Here is a 17,779-nt window from a genome sequence, read left to right as displayed (position 1 = left end):
CTCTGCCCCAGTCTCCTAGTACCTAGTCCTCAAATGCCTGGATGATTGTCTTAGCCTCCTACTAGGCCATCTGCTCCCAGCCTCTTCCTACTCCACCATCCTTTCCTCTTTTAAGCCACCTTTCTTACATGCTGTTCTGATCATGTTACATTTCTGTTCTAATGTCTTTCCTGGTTCTCTATCATCTGCAGGAAGGAGCTCTAAATCCATAGTTTTTCTTAAAGGGTCTTTCAAAATCCACATTTATTACCCCTGTAGTTCCTTATCAAATCACTACCCTGGTGTCCCACCCCCAATCCTTGCACCATGCACCCTACACTCCAGCCACATGAAAAGCTCAACGATGCCTGAGAACCCAAACCCGCCATGCCTTTTTTGCATTGCTTATGTCATTTTGTCCACGTGGAATAGTTCCACTTGCCTCGCCCAAGTTATTGACTTTTACTAAATATGTGAGATAGAAATTAAACACTCCTTCTCTGAACTTTTTCTCCTTTCTTCTCCTTTATTCCATCCCAGTTTCAACCCCACAGAATCAACTCATCTGAATCCCCTTAGCCCTTATATCTAGCACATATGTGGATATTCTCTGTGTGTGTGTGTCTGTCTCAGAACTCCTTGAGGGCTAGATGGATAAATAATTCATTTTTTCATCACTAGATCCTTGTTCAGTATCTAGAACACAGTCGGCACTGTGTTTTGTGTGATTTTGTAGAATTGAATGCCATGTCTTAGGTAACAATTTTACCTGTGGCAATACTCACGGGTTTTTCATCACCAATGTCTGTGTTCTCTTCCTCCATATACCCCAGATTGAGCTAAAAAGAAAATGCAAAGTCAAATGTTTCCCACACATTAGGTCCAGCACTCCTCTTTAACAAAGAAGAAAACTCTTCTGATTCTCTTTTTGAATGGCACATGACCTCTCAGGACAGAAAAAAAAAAAAAAAAAAAAAAAAGATTCCATTGTGTGGCAAAAGTCAGAAAGGCTTCACGCTGTCTGAATGCCAACCAGACAATCTGTGTTCCCAATCAGACCTACAATCCCCAGGCACAGGACGATGTTGGTTTGACCTCAGCAGAAATCAGATCTGCTCTACATGGTGATGATGATAGCAAACATATGGAATTGATTAAATGAATAAATAACCTTACTTAGTTTTGCATAAGAATATGTGGTACCCAGGTCAAAGATAATCCCTCATTTTTCTATGCATAATAGATTCCAAAGTGTAAACATCACCAGTAGCCTGAACCAAACTAGATGCTTTAAGTCAACAGTCAGAGGTGTGATTGTAAACTCGGAAATATTGACAATGTTTGTGAATATCACTTCTCTAAATTAGGTGAGAGGTCCACAGCTGATGTGGGTGCCTAATTTATCTGACATCTCAGTGTCGGGTCCTGGTCAGCCTCAGAAATTTGATCACAGCCTCTTCCTACATCTCAACTGTAGATAATTTTTCTAGATGTTGTCTGCTGTCTTTTAATTTATAAATGTAGTGCAATGTCAAATAATCCATTAGAATCTAGTCATTCTCTGCCAAAATTCCTTTGGTCATGTCTCTCCTTTGAAGCCAGGGGCATTGAACAAAATTTGTTAAGGTCTCAAGGTGATTTCTGTCGATGGAAATTTTATTTCACTCTTTCATTTCACAAGATTTTAGGAGACATTTACTCAGTGATCACTGGTTTTGTTATCTGTATGCATTCCCTCTGTCTGAATCTGGCTGGCTAGGGTGCCAGGACCCAGAACCAGGGTAGCTTGGGCATGCAAGGTTGGGAAGGTCTGAGTAGCAGGTCACAGGAGGAAGTCCAGGAGGGTATGATGTCAGAAAATGGACCAATGGCCACTAAACGAGATCAACATTATGAGGACTGGTGGTGAAATTCAGCAAGACTTCCTGTGGCTGGGTGAATTGCATCCCTCCATGATATGGTCTGGCTGTGTCCCCACCCAAATCTCATCTGAAATTGTAGCTCCCATAATTCCCACTTGTTGTGGGAGGGACCTGGTGGGAGATAATTGAATCATTGGGGCAGTCTCCCCCATATTGTTCTCATGGTAGTGAATATTTCTCATAAGAGCTGATGGTTTTATAAGGGGAAATCTCTTTCGCTTGGTTCTCATTTTCTCTCTTCTCTGCCGCCTTGTAAGACATGACTTTCGCCTTCCACCATGCTTGTGAGGCCTCCCCAGCCACATGGAACTGTGACTCCATTAAACCTCTTTTTCTTTATAAATTACCCAGTCTCAGGTTATGTCTTTATCCACAGCATGAAGATGGACTAATACACCCCAAAAGACATGTTCAGTCCTAACCCCTATCCCTGTGAATGTGACCTTATTTGAAAATAGTTTTTTGCTGATGTAATTAAATGAAGGATCTCAAGAGGAGATCATCCTGGATTTGGGTGGTCCCTGCATCCTTGATGGGTGCCGTTGAGAGAAAGGAGATGAAAAACTGAGACAGAGACACAGACGGGAAGGCCGCATGGAGACAGAAAAAGAGATTGGAGTGCTGTGTCTACAAGCCAAGGAGCACCCAGGGTTGCCAGCAACAGCCAGAAAGTAGACTAGACGTGTGCAAGAGTCCCCCACAGAGGTTCCAGGGGGAACAACCCTGTGGACGCCTTGATTTCAGACCTCCAGGCTCCTCACCTGCAAGAGAATAAAGTCACCAAGTTTTGGTAATTTGTTAGGGCGGCCCTAAGAAATGAATACCCTCTTCCATGTACATACATACTTCCCACACACCAGCATGCACAGAAATTCACGAGGGCAGGGCCTGAGTCTTGTTTACTCCATGGTCTCTAGTCCTACAGCAGTGCCTGGCATTTAGTAGGCGCTCAATCAGTATTTGTGGAATGAATGAATGAAATCTGTTCTGCCTGCTTCCCACTAAAACAGATTGAAATGTTAGAGGTGAAGAATGATAGGGCTTTTCCTACAGATTCTAAAAATATACTTGCTTAGGACTGATCGTTTTTGAATATAAGAATCAGTGTTTAGAGAAGATTAGGTAAGGTTTTATCATCTTTAATTATGAAAACATATAAATAATTTAAAAAATTATTCTATTGTATTTTAGCTCAGGTACAATGTTGGAGGTAAATAAGATAGGTTTATGACTTGGCTAGAATAAGACATTCATTCATTCATTTTTTTTTTCCATTTAATCAGAAAATACAGCTGACCTTTGAAAAACATAGATTTGAACTGCACAAGTCCACATAAGTGGATTTTCTTCTACCTCTGCCACTCCAGAGACAGCAAGACCAACCCCTCCTCTTCTTCCTCCTCCTCAGCCTACTCAATGAGAAGACAATGAAGATGAGGACTTTTATGATAATCTGCTTCCACTTAATGAATAGTAAATATATTTTCTCTTCCTTAATAATTTTCATAATAACATAACATTTTCTTTTCTCTAGCTCACTTTATTGTAAGAATACAGTATATAAAACATGTAACATACAAAATATGTGTTAATCAACTGTCTATGTTATTGTTAAGGCTTTTGGGCAACAGTGGGCTATTAGTAGAGAAGTTTTGGGGGAGTCAAAAGTTACATGCAAATTTCTGACTGCACCTGGTGGGAGGAGAGGACAGTGCCCCTAACCCTGTGTTGTTCAAGGGTCAACAGTATTTCAAATATTCCTTAAGCACTATAGGAGTGGTGAGCACTTTGCTCAGGGTATAGATCCAAGGCACAAAGAGTCAGAGACTTGTGGACCCTAACCAGAAGAGGAAACAGTTCATCAAATTGCTGTGCTAGTTGATCGCTGCAAACATACTAAGAGCACAAAAGGGGAAGACAGTGTGCTCTGGTCACAGGTAATGACTTAGTGTATGTTCCTGCAACCCATCTGTAAAGTCAGTGGGGGCAGGGACCATTTCTCTTCTTGCTTCCTTCTATTTTCCTAGAGCTTAGCTCAGTTCATAATGCAGATATATTTTATTAAATAAGTAAATAAAGGTTATTGTTCTATCCTCTAGAATCCCAGGTACAGAACTTTTCTTCCTCTTCTAATCGACTTTGTTGTTGTTGTTGTTTTGAGACAGAGTCTCACTCTGTTGCCCGGATTGAAGCTCAGTGGCATGATCTCAGCTCACTGCAACCTCTGTCTCTCAGGTTGAAGCACTTCTCCTGTCTCAGCCTCCCAAGTAGCTGGGACTACACACACGTGCCACTGCACCTGGCTAATTTTTGTATTTTTAGTAGAGACAGGGTTTCGCCATGTTGACCAGGCTGATCTTGAACTCCTGACCTCAGGTGATCTGCCCACCTCGGCCTCCCAAAGTGTTGGGATTACAGGCATGAGCCACTGCACCCGGCCCTAATTGACTTTCATCACGGGGAGAAAAATGCATCCTTTTACCAGGATCAGAGATGCTGAATAAGCCAGCATCCCAGGCAGCCAAAAATCAGTAAGAAGCCAAAAAAAAAAAAAAAAAAAGGCTGTTCTCAAGGACACGGCTTAGAGGTGAGGACAGTAGGCAGAGTAACAGGGTCTGGCTTCTTCACAGTGTAAGGAAACTTCATCTGGGGGAACCATCAGCATCCTGCCTGGCCATCTGCTGCGGCAGCCTCAGGCACCTGTTGAAACATGTGCTTACACAGAGCCCATGTCTACAGGAACAACCACTGGGGGCTGGATGGTGTTTGCCAGTCAAAATAAAAGAATCATCAAGGCAAGGTTTTGATTAGCCACTGTTTAAAACATCTTGATTTTCTTTTGGCTTTGGCGATATTAGTCAGAAAGTTTATGTGAATAATTCTCAATCTTTTGATGCCCTCATATAGTACCTGTTGGGTGTAGGGTATAGTGCTCAGCCTAAAATAGCAGCTGAGATTTCTGTCCTCAAGTTAGCCTACAACTGGGTAGGGGACAAGGCACTAGGGGACATTCACATCTCTTCTAACAGTACTCTCTCTCTCTTCTTCTCCTGTAAAGTGACACCTCCCCCCCACCCCACCCCTTAGTCCCTGTGCTTCTGAAGGATTTGACTCCACTCTCTGTTTGTGATTGGAACATGTGGCACAAATCAAGCCAATCAGCTCGTCACATTGTCCTCTCCACGGTCAATGAGATTTTGGCTGGGAATGTGGCACCAAAATCTCCCTGTCTCCTATTGAATGGGAAGATGGAAGGATAGAATCTCGGGAGCTACTGGCAGCCACCTTATGCCTAGGAGGGACCACAGAATTATTTCAACATCAAAGATATGGAACTGAGAAATGGAAAGGAAAACTGGGTCTCAGGCACAGCATTTGAAGCCTGGATCAAGCCAACAACCATCCTGAACTCTGTTCAGTTACAAGAACCAACAATTTTCCTCCCTCCCTCCCTCTGTCCCTCCTTTCTTTCCTTCCTTCCTTCCTCCCTTCCTTTTTTTTTCTTTTTTTTTTTTTTTTGTTTAACCCAGTTTGGTTCGCACTTTTTGTCATTTGCAACTGAAAGAATCTTAACTGACACAGAGTCACTATAAAAAGGATGTTGGCAAGAAGTGCCTGAGGTCAAGAGAGTAGCCAGGATGGGCTATAGCTAGAATAACAGAAGAGGCAGAAAAAGAACATCCTGGGCTCAGCCAGCTGTGCTCATGAGTAGAACAGTGTGACTGAAGGACAGCTCAGAGGGCAGAGGTGGGAAACGATTAAGGCTGATGCCAATTCAGTGAGTGGCTGATGCCAGTTCATTGAATGGCTGAATAATGAGTTTGGAATTTAACCTGTGGACCTTGAGGAGCACTTGGATCTTTTGTGCTGAGAAATGACCTGATGAGGAGGAAATGTTTCCTTAAGGATCATCAATTTTGTCAATCAGCTCTTCAGGCCAGGCTGGCTTGAAAGGCAAGTGAATGCTTTGTTTGCTTAACCATCTTTTTTAGAAGCTTTTAGCACATCAGAGAATGCTTTAAATTGTACTGGTTCCCTTTGGTGACAGAAGAGCAAACACAGCAAGGAACCCTGACCTTGCTCACTGAGGACAAAGAGCCAGGTGAATACACCATTAGCCCCCAAAGAAGATGGCCTGCAGCCTCTTAATAACCACCTAGGCTGCTTTGAAATTTTTCAGGTCTACCAACCAACCACTAGGCTGACTGTGTGTGAATCTTAGTCTTGAAAGTGCATCTAGGACAAAGGGACATCAACCAGGGAAATGACCCAGATGGTAGCATCTTTAGTCTAATAAGTTAAAGATTCCTTAAATAAGAGCTTCTCAATGCCTCTTTCCCAGAAGAACATAGAGGGTATGTTTTGGGTGCTTGTGGCTCAAACACACCTGATTAAAACCAGACCTACAACTTGTCTTTAGAACAGTCCTAAGTGAGTTGACTATCTCTACATAGTCCTGCTTATAAACTGGGGGCAGAAGTAGAAAAATCAAAGGGAATGTTTTAATTCCCTTTTAGAAGATCTGTAGACTCTCTGACTCCACCATTGGGGTAACTATCTTTCAACAGCAATTAATTTCAAAGTTATAAAACATATGAATAAACCGTTCTTTTTTCTGTGTAGTTATCGTTTTAATATACCATTACAAATAGTGAGAAAAAGGCCTGCGTGAAGATAAAATTCCAAAGAGGAGGAAGTTATTTCAGAGGGACTGTCTAAAATTTTGTAGGGTTTTAAGGATAACATGAGACTCACAGTGGTATCACGTGAAAAAATGCCAGAACATCTGTTATGTTAAGTATAACAACAACAAAACCAAAATAAATCTCTAGTGAAGAAAAACCTCGTAATAGATTATTGTGGGGCTTCTGCCTTATTCAAAGGGAAACTGGCAAAAGCATTGCAGTGGGAATATGACGGGGAAAAAGTAATAATATGATAATAATAATTGATGCCAACTTTTAGGGTCTACTAGCTCAGGTCTCTCATGCTTGGCATATTTGTGCAAGGAGTCCTCAGTTACCCCAGCCAGCTCCCAAGGAAACCCACTGTCAGTCACATACAACTTTGTTCTTTTGTGTTTTCTTCATTGTTTTCAATATAAGCATTTTTTTCTATTAATAAGAAAAGCGTGATCTGATTGGTGACAAAAAAAAAACACACACACACGTTGTCGAGTCAGTTTCCCTTCATTCATTTTAATGCGTAGCCATGCTATTTGAGATGAAAAGACTTTAACCTGGCTAGATATTAAGAAATAAACAGATGAAATGCTAAAATCTTAGCAAATGTTTAAAATCCAGATTGGCTCAATTTGATTTATAAGGAAGTTTTTGAATAATTTTCAAAATGCAGCGAATACAATCAAACTTTCGTATCCTCAGGAAATAAAATGCCCCTGTTCTGGCTGAACCTGAGAAATCTTAGCAGCATTGCAACGCATTTAGAATTTTGTGCAAACTTAAAACACTGTACTGTAGAGGGTATAAATCAGTCTAAAGAGTAACAAAGTGATACATTCCTTACATCTTTTTTTTTAATTTATTTTATTTTTTTAGACAGAGTCGCGCTCTGTCACCCAGGGTGGAGTGCAGTGTCACGATCTCGGCTCACTGCAAGCTCCGCCTCCCGAGTTCACGCCATTCTTCTGCCTCAACCTCCCGAGTAGCTGGGACTACAGGCGCCCACCACCACACCTGGCTAATTTTTTTGTGTGTATGTTTCCTAGAAACGGGGTTTCACCGTGTTAGCCAGGATGGTCTCGATCTCCTGACCTCGTGATCTGCCCACCTCGGCCTCCCAAAGTGCTGGGATTACACCTTACATCTTAAAACACAAAAACCTCTTTAAATAATTGGTTACTGAGCATCGGGCATCTCTAAGTCAAATGTGAGGACATGATGTTGTGCCACTTTTAATGTACAGATAGTATGTCCCTTTTGGAACAGAGTAGCTGCTATCTCAAAAATTTAGTAAATGTACATAAGACAAGAATACCTAAAAGATCTCCAAAGAAATTTGTCACACATTATGAAAAGGAGGAGTCATAATGGGTTCTGTGCTTTTGATCTAGAATATTCTAGCCATCTAACTCCGGCTGCTCTCTCCAAACTCATCTCAGTTCACCGGTGCCCTGGCTCCCGGGCTCCCAAACTTTAAGACACACTGACTTTCTATTGGTTTCTTTTATGTGTCAAGTTTTCCTGCTACTCTCTCCGTCTAGAATGTTCCTTCCCACTCAACTCTTCATGACTGGCTTTTTCAAGACCTAAGTTGTGTATGTCTTCTGGACATTTCTCCCCACTTCTTTTGATAACAAAAATACAAATCTTCATTGAGAGGACGAGCTTGCAACCCTCAAACTCTGAGATTTTAGAGGAAGAGGCCAAACCCTTTCCCGGAAGCCAAAGCCACATGACTTAGCTACTGCCACAGTGATTGGTTCAAAGATTGACATGTGACTTATGACAGGCCAATCAGGGCCAGCCCCTGTAGTCACACTGGAACCAATGAGAAAGAGGCACTCCTTTACCTCCCTCCCTCCCTTGTTTCCTTTTTCTCTCCGTCTCCCTCTCTCTCTTCCTGTGTGTCTTTCTCAATTTCACCCTCTCTCCCTCTCCCTCCCTTCCTTTCTTTCTTTCCTTTAACTGATTTGAATTTACTTTTTGTCACTTGCAAACTAAATATTATGGACTGATGAGCTTCCTCAAAGGGGACACTTCTGAGTACAATATCTAAAGCAATTGCCTGTCCCCTTCTCATTATTTTCTTAGCAGGCTGAGTTTTTAAAATAGCTCTAACCACAATTTGAAATTACGTTGTGGTTTACATTTTTTTGTCTGTCTCTCCCTGTAGGATGTAAGCTGCATGGGGTCTCAAATACCAGACCAAGGAGGACATTTTATTCTATAGGCACTAAGGTGTCACTGAAGGACTATGCACAAGGTAATAATCGAATCTGAGCTTGGCTTGGAAAAAAAATACACAAGTGATAAAAATATTAACAGCAAGACATGGTTGGATAGTAAGAGAAGTGTGTGTCTTAGAAGTCTGTATCTGCTGCTTCTATCATGGAAGATACTTATTAACTTAAGAACCAATGTTTCATCACAGGGGTAGTTCATAAACATGCTAGCTGAGCCTTGAACTCCAGACCATCTGCTCGAACACAGAGCAAAGGACCATGGTGAATGGTTTCAGTAGTAGTAGATTATACTTAATAGTCCAGCAGATGAGCTGGAAATTGATGTGTAAGTGGCTTCCTAATAATTCCCTGATGGTCTTGCTGAGTTGCAGGCTTTAGTTAGTTTGTTTGTTTTGAGACCGAGTCTCACTCACTCTGTTGCCTAGGCTGAAGTGCAGTGGCACAATCTTGGCACACTGCAGCCTCCACCTCCTGGGTTCAAGCGATTCTCTGCCTCAGCCTCCTCAGCTGGGATTACAAGCATGTGTTACCACACCCAGCTAATATTTGTATTTTTAGTAAAGACGGGGTTTCGCCATGTTGGCCAGGCTGGTCTTGAACTCCTCACCTCAAGTGATCCACCCGCATTGGTCTCCCAAAGTGCTGGGATTACAAGCGTGAACCACTGTGCCTGGCCTATTTAGTTCTGTATTTAGTTAGGCAACTCACTGAGTGAGTCAAGAGATAGGGAGGATAGCATGGAAATGGCCATGAGTTTTCCATGTTGTCAACTTGGGAACTTTTAAGGGAGAGGTGAGATTTCAGAAACCATTTAAATGATATGAGTATTGGAGCTCTTACAGGTGCTGAGGAGGCTGAGAAATTCTAGGCCTTCAGTGCTATGTTAGAATGGGGATGGGACATTCCCCTCCCCTCTTCCTATCAGCACCACTTGGGGTGGATGGATGAACTGAATTATCTCACCTCTGTTCTGCGTGAGATACTTGCTCAGTGTTCTAAAAGCTTAGTACACATCAGAATAACTTGGGGCCAGGGCCAGGTTCTCTTAGGAGGGTCCCCTGCTTGGTTTAATCCCCTGCTGTGGCTGTCTTGAAATTCTTAATAACTTTTTACAAGGAGCTTCACATTTTTATTTTGCTGGCCTCTACAAATTACATAGTTGGTCCTGCCTGGGGGAGTTTGTAAGTGCAGATTCCCAGGCTCTACCCCAGAGCATGTGATTCAGAAGGTCTTACATGGATTTCAGAATTGTCATTTCTAGACACAGTCTAGGCAATTCCTTTACTGACCATCCTTTGAGAAATATTTTCACTAATGCTAAGGTATACGTTCATTTAGTATACAACAGGGAGTTTAAAGACATTTTCCTAAGAAAAGCCGAAGTCTGAGAGTGTAGAGAGGGCAGGCACCAGCATTTCCAATAAACAAGAGAAATCTTTTTCCTGTTTTCCCTGGACACAACTTCTTTCTGCCTCAGCTCTATCATTTCTCTAATGATCACTCTTAGAAATCCTTGGGTCCCTGGCTTTTTAAAAGTCCTTCGAGAGAAACTCAGAAATGCCAGAGTAATTTTCCTTTGTTATCCAAAAGAAGAAGGGGTAAAGAGTGCCTGAATTTACGAATGAGTGTCACAAAAAGCAACAGAGATGTTTAACGTGAAGGATTAGTTTTTTCTAGTCCTTTCCCTAGCAGACATCACCAATCATGGCCCCAGACATCACTAATCCATCACAACATTCATCTCCTCTGAGTCCAGGTATGGCCCCAGATCCCCTCTCATTCCAAGCAGCCAGCACCAATGAACTAGATTTCACAATGTGAGTGAAAACTATTTCCCAGGTATATCAACTGGGACAGGGACTGGGGAGCTGAGGTAAAGCAAGTGTAAGAGAGTTACTTTCTTCTAGATAAAGTAGAACCATTAAAAGGGTCACCCCTTTTAAGGATAACTTTACTTACCAGCTTGCCTGCGTTGAAAATAAACAGAAACCCAACACTTTCAGGGAAATGATATTATCACTGTCAGCTCCTTCCCTTGGGGTAGTTAGAACTCTGCGGCACTAGAAGTAACTTGATGACTTTTGATAGGGAAAGTACTGGGTAACATTTATTAACATATTTACCAATGGTATGGGGGACCTTTGTGAGCTGAGGGGGGCTTCTCCCTTTAGCTAAATTCATTAACTACTGTGGTTTCAAAGAAAATCAGGGAATTTGCATCCTTAAACAGGAGGTAGCTACTACATTACCCCTGAGATCAGGATCTCATTAAGATACAATAGCACATCTTGAAAATTGTCTCACCGAATTGACATTTCTCTGAACTCAGCTTTTGGCTCAAAAATGTCACACATACTAAAACTCACTTGAAAGTATATTAAATTCCAAGACACTGCTGTCGGTTAGAGAGGTGGGTGCCTACGAGCCAGCTGATTCTGGGATCCAGAGCTCTGGTTCCAACCACAGCATTATTGAGCACTTCATCAGGGCACAAATAATTTCTCTCAAACACTAGCTGATCAGATAACTTTCTTATAACATGTTGGGAAGTGGGGGGTGGGCAGGGCTGGCAGTAAATCCAGCCTTTCCAGAGGCATGTACCACACTTTATGGTGTTAGTGTTTGAAATGGAAAAACAAATCCCCTGAACAGGCAAACAACAAAAGCCCCCTTGTCACTTTCTATAATGTTGTAAACATTGCATTACGACATTGCATTAGGATGTGTTTTCTGTTAAGAGCAAAGCTGGAGGGGGGATTACAAAGACACTGATCAACCATTTAGTAAATTTCAAGCAGGAAGTGGCTCAAGCTGTGAAATCCATCACGTTTGTCTTTCAAAGAAAGAGAGACATTTTCCCCAGTCAGCCACACCAAAAACCTGTGAGATGTGTGTACACACACACACACACACACACAAATATATATAGAAGAAGGCATGGAAGGAAACACAGTTCCTTCTGCCACACAAACACACAAATATTAAAGTGATCATCTTGTGGGTGGGGACCTGGAGTAGGAATGATGCCTGAAGAAGACTTTGGTCATTTTCATACTTCTGTTTTTCTCAAGGAAAACGGACACGTTGTGAGTCATGACATTAAAAATGTAAAAATATTCTCTATGATCTTCAGATGGACATGTTAGATCTAAACCTGCCCTTTTTGTGGCATCATCCTGGGTTTTACAGGAAATGGAAAAGATATTGCATCTACAAATTACATCACATGACAAAGAGAGGAGTGAGTGGCAGGAAGTCAGGCTGGCTGGGTGTAGTGAAGGCAGTTTGAAAACCAGGCAGAGAGTTGAACTCCTCTCTCTTAAGCTGTGTGGTTCCTGTGGAGAAGGAGAGAGGAGTAGCTGGCAAAGGTGGTATATGAGACTGATCATTCTACAAGCAGCTGTGGGCTGTGGCTGGGATCAGAAAGTCCACATAGAGAGTCCTGGCAGGACTTGATGAGAGCCTGTGTCAAGCAGCAGGATAGAGGAGAGAGGAGAATGGATGGATGTGAGAGATATGTCCAGGTAGTTGTCTGGGTAAGACTCAAAGCTGACACCCTGGTTGTGAGTCTAAGAGACATGGAGACGGAGCAATGCCGTCTAATCCAACCATGTGGGAAAGGGGAGCCTCTGGGAGTTTAGTAGGAAGGAAAGCCAGTGAGAAAACCAAACAGGAGCATTTAGGAAGCCCTTGGAAGAGTTACGGGTCTCACAGGCAGGAGTCTTGTAATGAGTGATTTGGGGAGGTTTATCAGCAGTTCCATTCTACAGAGAGATCATGGAGAAAAGACAGAGATTTTTGTCTCCAAATACCAAGATCTAAACTCATGCTAGTAAGTCCCTGCTGCAGTAGCTAGGTAGTAGAGATGTTGACTTAATTTGTTGATATGCCAATTCCCCAAAGCTTAATGGGTCATTTCTTCAAAACTAAGATAGGACTAGCCTTCTCAAAAGTCTACTAAAGCAGTGCTTCAGTCTATGGCAAGAGTAAGCTGACAATTGGCTGAAGATGGGTGGGAATATATTTGTGTGTATAAATACACACACATACATATACATATATTTTTAAATCAACACTGTATAGGTTAATCAAATACAGCTATAAAAATTCCCCATATTTTCTTCCCTCTGAAGTAATAATATAGCACATTTTATAGCATTAATCTTCAGGATTACTCAAACTTCATTAGATGCCATTTCCAGTTAGGAAGGGGAAGGAGGGTAAAAGCCAGACACATGACATTTCTGCTTGCTCAGTGAACAATTGAGATATCCGAGGTCTTATTCATATATTTTACTCTCATGAAATCAATTGAGCTCATTGCTTAAACTGTCAGGTCTGTAGGTTATGTCTGTATTTAAGAGACTTAAATATTTATTTATCAGTATTTTTATTGATTCATCTGAAAAATCGACTTGTACAGCTGGATATCCTTGGGGGACAGAGTCCTGCCCTCCCCAAATGAACTAGGAATATTCCCCCATTTCCTCCTTTGCCCCCTCTCTACCTTAACCCTTACCAAGAAGTACATGTTTCTGAAGAAAAAGCCTCAAGGATGTCAAATATGATATTATATTATCTCTGATGAGAAACATAAGGTGGGGGGAGTGGCACAGTGGCTCACGCCTGTAATCTCAGCATTTTGGGAGGCCCAGGCAGGAGGGTCGCTTGAACCCAGGAGTTGGAGACCAGCCTGGGTGGGCAACATGGTGAAACCCCATCTCTACCAAAAAAAAAATTAGCCAGGCGCAGTGGAGCACACCTGTGGTCCCAGCCACTTGGGAGGCCAAAGCAGGAGGTTCACTTGAGCCTAGGAGGTCGAGGCTGCAGTAAGCCATGATCATGCCATTGCACTCCAGCCTGGGCAGCAGAAAGAGACCCTGTCTCAAAACAAAAAAGCAAAACAAAACAAAAAACGAAGGTTGGCGGGGTAGGGGTGGCGGGGGGGTGCCTGAGACAGACATTCTATGATAACGCTGAGGTAAAGCTGCTAAAAGCTGCTCTTTCTCCTTTCTCTCTCAAGCAGAATGATTCTAATTGTGAAGACAGCTCTATTTTCATATATATATTTGCTTTGTAAACCTTTGGTAGATACAATATTATTTCAAATAATGTAATATACACTAGGTGATAAAACTAAACGAGCACCTATTCTATTTAGCCATCACTGCATTTAATGCAAAGATTACAGTGATTCTTTAGACCCACACGTTTGCGTCTGAGTACATCCATGCACTTAAGGCTAAGACATTAACGAAAAGCCTGCAGCCCAGTAAGCATGCTCAGATAAAAAGAGCTGTCATCTCTTAAGTGCCTACTATGTGCCAGATATGTACAAGATATTTTATAGCCATTAGCTCATTTTATAGCACAGCTGTTTTAAGGTAGACGTCTCTCCTTTTTTTTTTTTTTTTTCCCGGATGAGCTCCAAGTGGTTAGCTGACTTACTCAAGATCACACAGCTGGTGAGTGTCAGGACAAAGATTCAATTCTGGGTCTAGGCGGAATAAGCCATGCTCTTTTTGTTTGTTTGTGTTTTTGAGACAGAGTCTTGCTCTGTCTCCCAGGCTGGAGTGTGCAGTGGCATGATCTCAGCTCACTGCAACCTCTGCCTCCCAGGTCCAAGTGATTCTCCGGCCTCAGCCTCAGCCGCCTGAGTAGCTGGGATTACAGGCATGCACCACCACGCCTGGCTAATTTTTGTATTTTTAGTAGAGACGGGGTTTCACCATGTTGGCCAGGCAGGTCTCAAACTCCTGACCTCGTGATCCACCCGCCTCAGCCTCCCAAAGTGCTGGGATTACAGGCGTGAGCCACTGCGCCCTGCCCATGCTCTTTTATCTCCCTTCCCCACCTCCCCACTCCATTGTAAAGAAGAATTTTCCAAGCACCAATAAGCTTCTTACTACCTGCAGTTGACTGTCTAACATTTCCAGATGCTTCCAGTGAGACCATGCCAAGACTATAACACATCCTTGATCAATGGTTTTAGACCATATTTCCCAAAGTTTGTTCAGTAAGGTGACTTCCCCATCAACATACTCTTAACTGTCAGCAGAGTGAAGAGCTATTATCAGGTAAGGGAAGGTTTCTAGAGATTCCACTGTCACAGATGCTCTTCGCCCTTCAGCTGATCCTCTAAGGCTGCAGTGGTGGTCTCCATCCACAGTGACCATCTCATTCTCCTTGTCTTTTTTTTTTTTTTCCAGAAGAAATAGGACATACCCATTTCTAATGGGCGTTAACCTTTTCTAGACTTGAGCCTATTTGTAAAAGCACAGAGCACCATGAGATGGCCAGAAACCAAGAAAAATCTCGGTTCTTTATTACACTTGCTTAGTGATCAAGGATTCCTAACTAGACGTTTCTTCCTGCATTGGTTGTTTGCATTGGATATGCAAATCTTCTCTGTTCCCAGGCCAGTCTTGAATATATTTACAAGGTTATGGATGTCCATTATTCACTTAAGTATAGATTAGGAATACTGACAAATACTTTTATTCAAAGAGTTAGATCATTTTCAGATCACTCTTCATTCTAGGACTTAACCTTCCTCTACTCCCAACAACTTTCAAGTACGCATTCCCACAAACCCAGGGTTTCATAAAAATGTACTAAATAACCTTAAAGCCCTTTATGAATAATTATGAGTTTTTAAGTTTTTGTGAATCTGCATATTAATTCTGTCCCATAAATAAAACATGAAGCAAAAATCCAGTGTGTTGAGTGTCAGGGGGATAGAAGAAAAGAAGGAAGGATAATTATCAGTTTAATGTGGGAACATACTTAACCTAAAAGATTACCTCCAAAATTGGTGACATCCAAAGTATATAGAATGTACAAGGATGTTTTCATTTAAATAAAAGGAGGAAAAGCTTTATATTAAGTTTCTGCCATTTCCAGAGCTCTCTCAACCGCGCATGTTTGAAAATGCAATTGTCAAAATTTGTATTTGCTAGGGATTAGGCTTTCTCACTTATTCAGTGTCTTTCATCTCTAAGCATTGTATGCCTTGTTGCCATATAATTCACATTTTCCTACTTGGTGTGTACGATTTGGTTATCTATCTATAATTACAGGTTTTCTTGGGGGGTGTTAATGAGATGTCATTGGTAACCAAATTAACTCCATTTTTCTCACTCTCAGACCTTATGCATGGAAAGGGCAGAAAGAAGCAGAGCTGGTATCCAGAGAATTCCATGTCACTCGTGCCTGAAATTCCTGGGGTGGGCATATAGCAACCAAAGTGGAGTGGGTGGGGATCCATGAATATCTCCTCTAGAACATGATGCCCATGGGCGCCATTTTCATACCTTTAACCAGTTTGCAAATAAGGGAGCTGCTGACTAACCCAAGACTCTGTGGGCCCACCATGCCTGTTTGATCATTAAAACCAACCCAACTAAGGTATCTAACTCTGAAATGCATTTTTTCCAACCCTCTGAAGCTCATCATGTTTATAAATGTCATCTGTGAAGAGCTTGAAATCCTCCACAACTTGCACTAATCATGATTGCTTTCAGGCCTTTTCTTTTTTTTTTTTTTTTTTTTTTGAGACAGTGTCTCCCTCTGTCACACCCAGGCTGAAGTGCAGTAGTATGATCACAGCTCACTGCAACCTTGAACTCCTGGGCTAAAGGGATCCTCCTACCTCAGCCTCCCAAGTAGCTGGGATTACAGGTGTGTGTCACCACACCTGGCTAATTTTTAATTTTTCTGTAGAGACTGGGTATCACTCTGTTGCCCAGGCTGCTCTTGAATTCCTGGACTCAAGAGATCCTCCTACCTCAGCCTCCCTTACTGCTGGGATTACAGGTGTGAGCTACCACCCTGGCCCTACCTCTATGCTTAATACTGGTTTTTGTCAAACTCATGCTATCACCTGAGGTGGCTCCAAGCTGCCTGCCCCAGGACTTCTGATCCCCAGAGTCACATGGGGTGGAAATGGGTTTTGCCCAGGGCATTCTGCTGCTTAGTTGGTTGAAAACATTTCCAAAGACTTTTTGAAAGTTTGGAAAGGGCTAGCCAAGTGATGGTAATGGTACTATGGACCCCATAATTACTGAAAATGTTTCTTTAAAGGCATTTCTACTTAAAATGTCATTTTTATTTTCCATTTCCAGATTCCGACAGAACTGGTTGGGGCAGGTGCTAGGAAGGTCCTGTTGTAGGTGGGGACACCAAAGATATGGAATTTGACACTCTATCACTAGTCTGTACAGTGTAGAACACCTTTCTGTCCTCTTTGCTTTTTTTCCTCTCTTCCTCTCCTATGTTTTTCTTACCCAACTATGAGGAACTGGGATGCTTTAAAGTTTGTGAAAAGGGTAGTTTAAAATAACACCCATACCAATGACTCAGTTTTACCAATTCTGCCTGCCCCCTGCAGAAAGACACATTCTCTATTCAGTTGAACAGCCAAGACAGAATCAATATAGAAATGCATACCCACTGGGAATTTCTCACAAGAAACCATCAAAATGGTGATTTAATGTTAAAGCTCAACAAATTATACTCAAGGTTGACAAGAGGAGCATGAAGTTTGACCTGATTTCAAAATGGGTTCTATTCCCACCACTGCTCCATACTACCTGAGCACAGAGGGCATGTTACTTAACTTCTTGGAGCTTCAGTTTCTTTATCTGTCAAATGGGGATGTTTTGAAGAGCATTATGGGGACTAGAGGTTACGTATTTAAGCGTGTGACCTGTGTGTACCCCTGCCACCTCTCTGAAAGGGTTGTGTGTTCTCTGTTATGGTTACTTCTGGTAGAGTTCCCTAATGAGAGACAAGGCCTTTTCCTTAAAAATAGAATGATAGTTTAATTTTTCCATTTATTTATTTTTGAAGACTTAAATTCCTGGCATTGGGCTTGGTGTGTGAGAAGTTCAAAGTAGAATTAGACAAAGTTTCTTGCCTCTATGAGCTCACAGGTTAGCCAAGGAGACAGAGA

At 42.0% G+C, this 17,779-nt stretch overlaps 1 annotated feature.

Moving 5' to 3' along the window:
• Nucleotides 5,434–6,135: an enhancer, noted in NCBI's record as "OCT4-NANOG hESC enhancer chr10:119658461-119659162 (GRCh37/hg19 assembly coordinates)". NCBI's record gives its function as "activates a minimal SCP1, AML or CMV promoter by ChIP-STARR-seq in naive H9 embryonic stem cells {active_cell/tissue: H9 hESC(naive)}" and the evidence as "EXISTENCE:reporter gene assay evidence [ECO:0000049][PMID:30033119]".

The sequence above is a fragment of the Homo sapiens genome, chromosome 10 (genome assembly GCF_000001405.40).
Source record: "Homo sapiens chromosome 10, GRCh38.p14 Primary Assembly".
NCBI lineage: Eukaryota > Metazoa > Chordata > Mammalia > Primates > Hominidae > Homo > Homo sapiens.
This window is presented reverse-complemented; position numbering and strand designations above follow the sequence as displayed.